The sequence below is a fragment of the Homo sapiens genome, chromosome 8 (assembly GCF_000001405.40).
Source record: "Homo sapiens chromosome 8, GRCh38.p14 Primary Assembly".
Classification (NCBI taxonomy): domain Eukaryota; kingdom Metazoa; phylum Chordata; class Mammalia; order Primates; family Hominidae; genus Homo; species Homo sapiens.
Genome location: NC_000008.11, coordinates 30,349,866 through 30,356,900, shown reverse-complemented (window position 1 = coordinate 30,356,900; position 7,035 = coordinate 30,349,866). Strand labels below are relative to the sequence as shown.

Here is a 7,035-nt window from a genome sequence, read left to right as displayed (position 1 = left end):
GCTACTCAGGAGGCTGAGGCAGGAGAATCGCGTGAACCTCGGAGGCAGAGGTTGCAGTGAGCCAAGATTGCACCATTGCACTCCAGCCTGGGGACAGAGTGAGACTGTCTCAAAAAAAAAAAAAAAAAAAAAAAATGAATGGGCAATTCACAGAAGAAAAAGAAAACATGGAACATATGATTTCATCAGTAAATCAGAGAAATAGAAAATTAAAACCACAGCATCATTTTATATTTTATACTGATTGAAAATTGAAAGTCTGGCAGTTTCCTGTATAAGCTACACCTCACGGTAATCAAGTAATTGATAATGAAATATTTCTCTTCAGAGAAACAGTCTGCTAATATATTGAAAAGGAATGATAGAATCTCACAATTTTGCAATCTCCGATGAAATAATGAACTAAGCAGTGATTATCAATAATTGCTGCCTTAATACACAAAACAGACACAACAAAATGTTTTGTGCCTCCTAATGGAAGAATATACCACCACTTAAGAAATGTTCTTATTGGAAATTTGATCAACCCTCTGGATCTAACACACATATTGCTGGAACATGTTACACAGCACCATGTGACTGCATTCAACAAAACCCAGACTGGGGCCGGGCGCAGTGGCTCATGCCTGTAATCCGAGCACTTTGGGAGTCCGAGGTGGGCAGATCACGAGGTCAGGAGATCGAGACCATCCTGGCTAACACGGTGAAACCCCATTATCTACTAAAAATACAAAAAATTAGCCAGGTGTGGCGGTGGGCGCCTGTAGTCCCAGCTACTTGGGAGGCTGAGGCAGGAGAATGACGTGAACCCAGGAGGCAGAGCTTGCAGTGAGCCGAGATCGCGCCACTGTACTCCAGCCTGGGCGACAGAGTGAGACTGCGTCTCAAAAAAACAAAAAACACAAAAAAAACACAAAAAAACCCAGACTGGGAAATTGCAGAACACACCACCTGGTGTGTTCACCAAATAAATTGCAAGAAAGGGGACAAGATGGTTTTTATTTGGAACCTGATTTAAGTGACAATAAAACAAGCAACAGATTTTTAAAAATGTGACAGTTGAAATTAGATCATGTAATGGATATTTCATGATATTAAAGAATTATTACAATATTTTAGGCGTGATAGTGGTATTGTTCTTATGTTTTTAAAGAGTGCTACAAAGGAACCTTCTGGAGGAGCTGGAAATAGTCTAGATCTTGATAGCGCTAGTGGTTTCACAGCTGTGTACATGTACCTGTAAAAAAAAAAAAATCACCATTCACTAAGTTGTACTCTTAAGATTTGTGTACAGGTTCGGGCATGGTGGCTCATGCCTGTAATCTCAGCAATTTGGGAGGCCGAGGAGGGCGGATCACTTGAGGTCAGGAGTTCAAGACCAGCCTGGCCAACATGGTGAAACCCTGTCTCTACTAAAAATTCAAAAATTAGCCAGGCGTGGTGGTACATGCCTGTAATCCCAGCACTTGGGAAGCTGAGGCAGGAGAATCACTTGAACCTGGGAGGTGGAGGTTGCAGTGAGCTGAGACAGTGCCACTGTACTCCAGCCTGGATGACAGAGAGAGACCCTGTATCAAAAAAAAAAAAAAAGTTTTGTGTACTGTACTGTATGTTTTATCTCAAATTTTAAAAGGCAGAGTCCTTATTTTTTAGGGATGCATTATGAAATGTTTGCAGATGAAGTAATCTCAGATATCTGAGATTAGCTTTTGAATATTCCAAAATAGCCCATGGTAGATTGGCCATGAGTTGGTAAATGTTGAAGCCAGGGGATAGTTTATAATATAATTCTTGTACATGTGTGAAAATTTCCATAATATAAAGTTTTTAAAGAATGTCTGGCAAGATAATGTTGCTAAGTATAGAACAATGGAAAGACTTATAAACTGCTGGTGACAATGTCAATTGTAAATTGAATGACAATTTCATATTCTCTAATAAAACTGAAGATGGGTGCTATAACTCAGCAATTTCTCTGAGGTTATAACCTACACAAACACTAGCAGGTGTGCTTATAGATGTCTGTGCATGTAAAACACTTCAGACATGGTTTATAATAAACCAAAAGAAAAAGAGAAGGTGCTATAGTCTGAATATGTCCTCACAAATTCATGTGTTGGAAACTTAATACCCAATGCAACAGTGCTGGGAGGTGAGGTCTTTTGAGAGATATGTGGGTCATGTGGGCTCTGCCATCATGAGTAGATTGATGCCATTATGAAAGGAATTGATGGTGGGAGTTCAGCCATTTTCACCCTTCTCTCCTTCCTTCAACCATGTGAGGACCCAGTGTTCCTCCTTTCAGAAAATGTAGCATCAAGGTACCATCTTGGAAGCAGAGGGCAGCTCTCACCAGACAAGGATCCTCCTCGCACCTTGATCTAGAGTTCACAGCCTCCAGACTGTGAGAAAAAAAATTCTGTTCTTTATAAATTACTCAGTCTCAGGTATTTTGTTACAGCAATGGACTAAAACAGAAAGAAACAACTCAAAGATCAATTGACAGAAGAATGAATAAATAAATTGTGATGAGGCCAGGTGCAGTGGCTCATGCCTGTGATCCCAGCACTTTGAGAGGCTGAAGGGGGCAGATCACGATGTCAAGAGATAGAGACCAACCTGGCCAACGTGGTGAAACCCTGTCTCTACTAAAAATACGAAAATTAGTTGGGTGTGGTGGCGCGCGCCTGTAGTCCCAGCTACTCGGGAGGCTGAAGCAGGAGAATCGCTTGAACCCAGGAGGTGGAGGTTGCAGTGAGCCAGATCGCACCACTGCACTCCAGCCTGGTGACAGAGCGAGACTGTGTCTCAGAAAAAAAGAAAAAAAAATTGTGATGTATTCCCCTAATGATAGTCTGTGTAGCAATGAATGAGTTACAGCTATACTTAGTAACACGCATGAATCTCACAAAATTAATGAGCAAAAGTTTTGCAGGTTGCAGAAGAATACTATAGTAATACCATTAATTAAAGGTTCAAAATGTGTAAAATAGAATAATGCATTTTAGGGATCTGTATATGTAGTTAAACTATAAAGAAAAGCAAAGGCATGATAAACACAATGATAAACACAGGGTGGTGTAATTGGGGAGGGGCCTACAAGGTGCTTCCAAGTTTCTGATAATATTCTCCTTCTTAAGCTGGGTGATGATACATAGGTGCTTATCTTAATAATGTTTTATGCCAAACACACAACATGTCATAAACATATATATATATATATTTTATAAGAAAATTGTGGGGTTTTTTGTTGTTTTTGAGACAGGATCTCACTCTGTCACCCAGGTTGGAGTGCAGTGGCATGATCATGGCTTACTGCAGCCTTGACCTCCCAGGCTCAAGGGATCCTGACACCTCAGCCTTTTTTTTTTTTTTTTTCCAACAAACAAGTATTTATTGAGTGCCTACTATGTGCCAGGCACTGTTCTAGACCCTCCCCAGAAGAAAAAACAAAAAACAAGATAGAGGCAGCAAACACAAATTCTGAGGGAGAGGAAACGGGCAGTTGAGTAAGACGGCTAAGGGAACTGAGAAGCCTGAGGTGATGGGGGCTCTGCCTTAGGCCTCCTCTTTGGCCTCCTCACCGAAATCCTCCTCCTCTTCTGCGGTGGCATCCTGGTACTGCTGATACTCAGAGACGAGGTCGTTCATGTTGCTGTCAGCCTCGGTGAACTCCATCTCGTCCATGCCCTCGCCTGTGTACCAGTGGAGGAAGGCCTTCCGGCGGAACATGGCAGTGAACTGCTCCGAGATGTGCTTGAAGAGCTCCTGGATGGCCGTGCTACTGCCGATGAAGGTGACTGCCATCTTGAGGCCACGAGGTGGGATGTCACAGACAGCTGTCTTGATATTGTTGGGGATCCATTCCACAAAGTAGCTGCTGTTCTTGTTCTGCACGTTAAACATCTGCTCATCGACCTCCTTCATGGACATCCGACCACGGAAGTCAGCAGCCACGGTGAGGTATCGGCCGTGGCGGGGGTCACAGGCAGCCATCATGCTCTTGGCATCGAAGACCTGCTGGGTGAGTTCCGGCACTGTGAGAGCTCGATACTGCTGGCTTCCATGGCTGGTGAGAGGGGCAAAGCCAGGCATAAAGAAATGGAGACGTGGGAAGGGGACCATGTTAACTGCCAACTTGCAGAGGTCAGCATTGAGCTGGCCAGGGAAGCGGAGGCAGGTGGTGACACCACTCATGGTGTCTTAGAGGAGGTGGTTCAGATCCCCATAGGTTGGTGTGGTCACCCTCAGAGTGCGGAAGCAGATATCATAGAGGGCCTCGTTGTCAATGCAATAGGTCTCATCAGTGTTCTCTACCAACTGATGGACGGAGAGGGTAGCATTGTAGGACTCGATCACGGTGTCAGACACTTTGGGTGAAGGCACCACACTGAAGGTATTCATGATGCGATCAGGGTATTCTTCTCGGATCTTGCTGATAAGGAGAGTGCCCATTCCAGAGCCTGTGCCCCCACCCAGTGAGTGGGTGAGCTGGAAGCCCTGCAGGCAGTCACAGCTCTCTGCCTCCTTCCGTACCACATCCAGGACAGAATCAACCAGCTCGGCGCCCTCTGTGTAGTGGCCTTTGGCCCAGTTGTTACCTGCCCCAGACTGACCAAATACAAAGTTGTCTGGTCTAAAGATCTGGCCAAAAGGACCTGAGCGAACAGAGTCCATGGTCCCAGGTTCTAGATCCACCAGTATGGCACGAGGAACATATTTGCCATCAGTGGCTTCACTGTAGTACACGGAGATGCGGTCCAGCTGCAGGTCGCTGTCCCCGTGGTAGGTGCCAGTGGGGTCGATGCCATGTTCATCACTGATCACCTCCCAGAACTTGGCACCGATCTGGTTGCCACGCTGACCAGCCTGGATGTGCACGATTTCCCTCATGGTTAAAATTTAATTTTTTTGCTCACTTCAAGGTATGTACGGGGCAAGAAAATAAGTAATTTTTTTTTCTCTGCAGGTCGCAGGCTGGAAGGTTGGAATATGCCCTAGATGCTGGAGCAGCGAGGTGCGAACGCGGCGGCAGGAAGTTTCTCGACACCTCAGCTTCTTGAGTAGCCGGGACTACAGGCATATGCTACCACGCCTGGCTAATATTTGTATTTTTTGTAGAGACGAGGCTTCACCATGTTACCCAGGCTGATCTCAAACTCCTGAGCTCAAGCAATCCTCCCACCTTGGCCTCCCAAAGTGCTGGGATTACAGGGATGAGCCACTACAGCCAGTCAATAAAATTACTTTTAAAAGCCATTTCCTATTGTTTTTCAACAGCCTTAGGACCTGCCTCATAGGTGACGACATGGTATGATGCAAAAATACTGGACCATCAGGAATTTAGGAAACCTGGGTTTTAGACCCAGTTGTGTTACTAAGTAGTCCTGTAACTTGGCACAAATCACTTAACTCACTTAATGCAAGTTCCTTTATCTAGAAAATGAGTGAATCCACATTTCCCAACTATGTTCTTCAGAACACTAGTTCTAAAATATGTTAATAGATATTTTGTGGCAACCAAAAAAAGTTTTGTGGTCTGAGGAACTCCAGATTAAGCAATAATAAGAGTGTTTCCTTATAACAGGACTTCTCAGAGCCTTGAATATACAATTATGAGTTGTGGATCTCCGAAAGAGGAATATAGAATTTTTTTTTTCTTTTTTTTTGAGACAGAGTCTCACTCTGTCAGCCAGGTTGGAGTGCAGTGGCACGATTTCGGCTCACTGTAACCTCTGCCTCCCAGGCTCAAGCAATTCTCCTGCCTCAGCCTCCTGAGTAGCTGGGATTACAGGCATGTGCCACCACGCCCGGATAATTTTTGTATTTTTAGTAGAGACAGGGTTTCACCATGTTGGCCAGGCTGGTCTCAAACTCCTGACCTCAGGTAATCTGCCCATGTTGGCCTCCCAAAGTGCTGGGATTACAGGTGTGAGCCACCGTGCCCAGCCAGGAGTATAGAATTTTCAAAAGTTAGTTTGCACCACAGAATCATGTTATCTCTCTGTGTGTTTTTGTTTGTTTGTTTGTTTGTTTTTTTGTTTTGACACAGAGTCTTGCTGTGTTGCCCAGGCTGGAGTGCAGTGGCGCGATCTTGGCTCACTACAACCTCTGCCTCCCAGGTTCTAGTGATTCTCCTGCCTCAGCCTCCCAAGTAGCTGGGATTACAGGCACCCACGACCACGCCTGGCTGATTTTTGTATTTTTAGTACAGATGGGGTCTCACCATGTTAGCCAGGCTGGTCTTCAACTCCTGACCTCAGGTGATCTACCTGCCTCGGCCTCCCAAAGTGCTGGGATTACAGGTGTGAGTCACTGCGCCTGGCTGACAGTATATATCTTTGATATGACGTGATGAAAATGGCGCTTTCTGTCTCTGGTCTTTCTCCCTGAAACTTATAACGTCAGTCTCAAGAAAAACATCATAAAAATTCTAATGGAGAGAAATTCTGAAAAATACCTTATCAGTGCTTCTTAAAATTGTTAAGCTCGTCAAAAACAAGAATGCTTTGCAGATGCTGGGGCCACCCAGAGCCCTATGCCACAAGTCACAGTCAACCCCACCATGGTCTTTGACATCGCCATTGACGGCGAGACTTTGAGCTGCATCTCCTTTGAGTTGTTTGCGAAGTTCCAAAGACAGCAGAAAATATCCATGCTCTGAGCACTGAAGAGAAAGAATTTGGTTATCAGGGTTTCTGCTTTTACAGAATTATTCCAGGGGTTCTGTGTCAGGGTATGTATGAACTTCACAAGCCACAATAGCACTGGTGGCAAGTCTATCTACAAGGAGAAATTTGAAGGTGAGAACTTCATTCTGAAGCATACGGGTTCTGGCATCTTGTCCATGGCAAATGCTGGACCCAACACAAGCAGTTCCCAGTTTTTCATCTGCACTGCAAGATTGACTGGTTGGATGGCAAGCATGTGGTCTTTGGCAAGGTGAAAGAAGGCATGAATATCATGGAAGCCATGGAGTGCTTCGGGTACAGGAATGGCAAGACCAGCAAGAAGATCACCATTGCTGACTGTGGA

The 7,035-nt window shown here is 44.8% G+C and overlaps 2 pseudogenes; one reads left to right on the top strand and one right to left on the bottom strand.

Moving 5' to 3' along the window:
* TUBBP1 (tubulin beta pseudogene 1) lies at positions 3,380–5,044 on the bottom strand (annotated as a pseudogene).
* On the top strand, positions 6,554–7,035 carry PPIAP84 (peptidylprolyl isomerase A pseudogene 84; annotated as a pseudogene).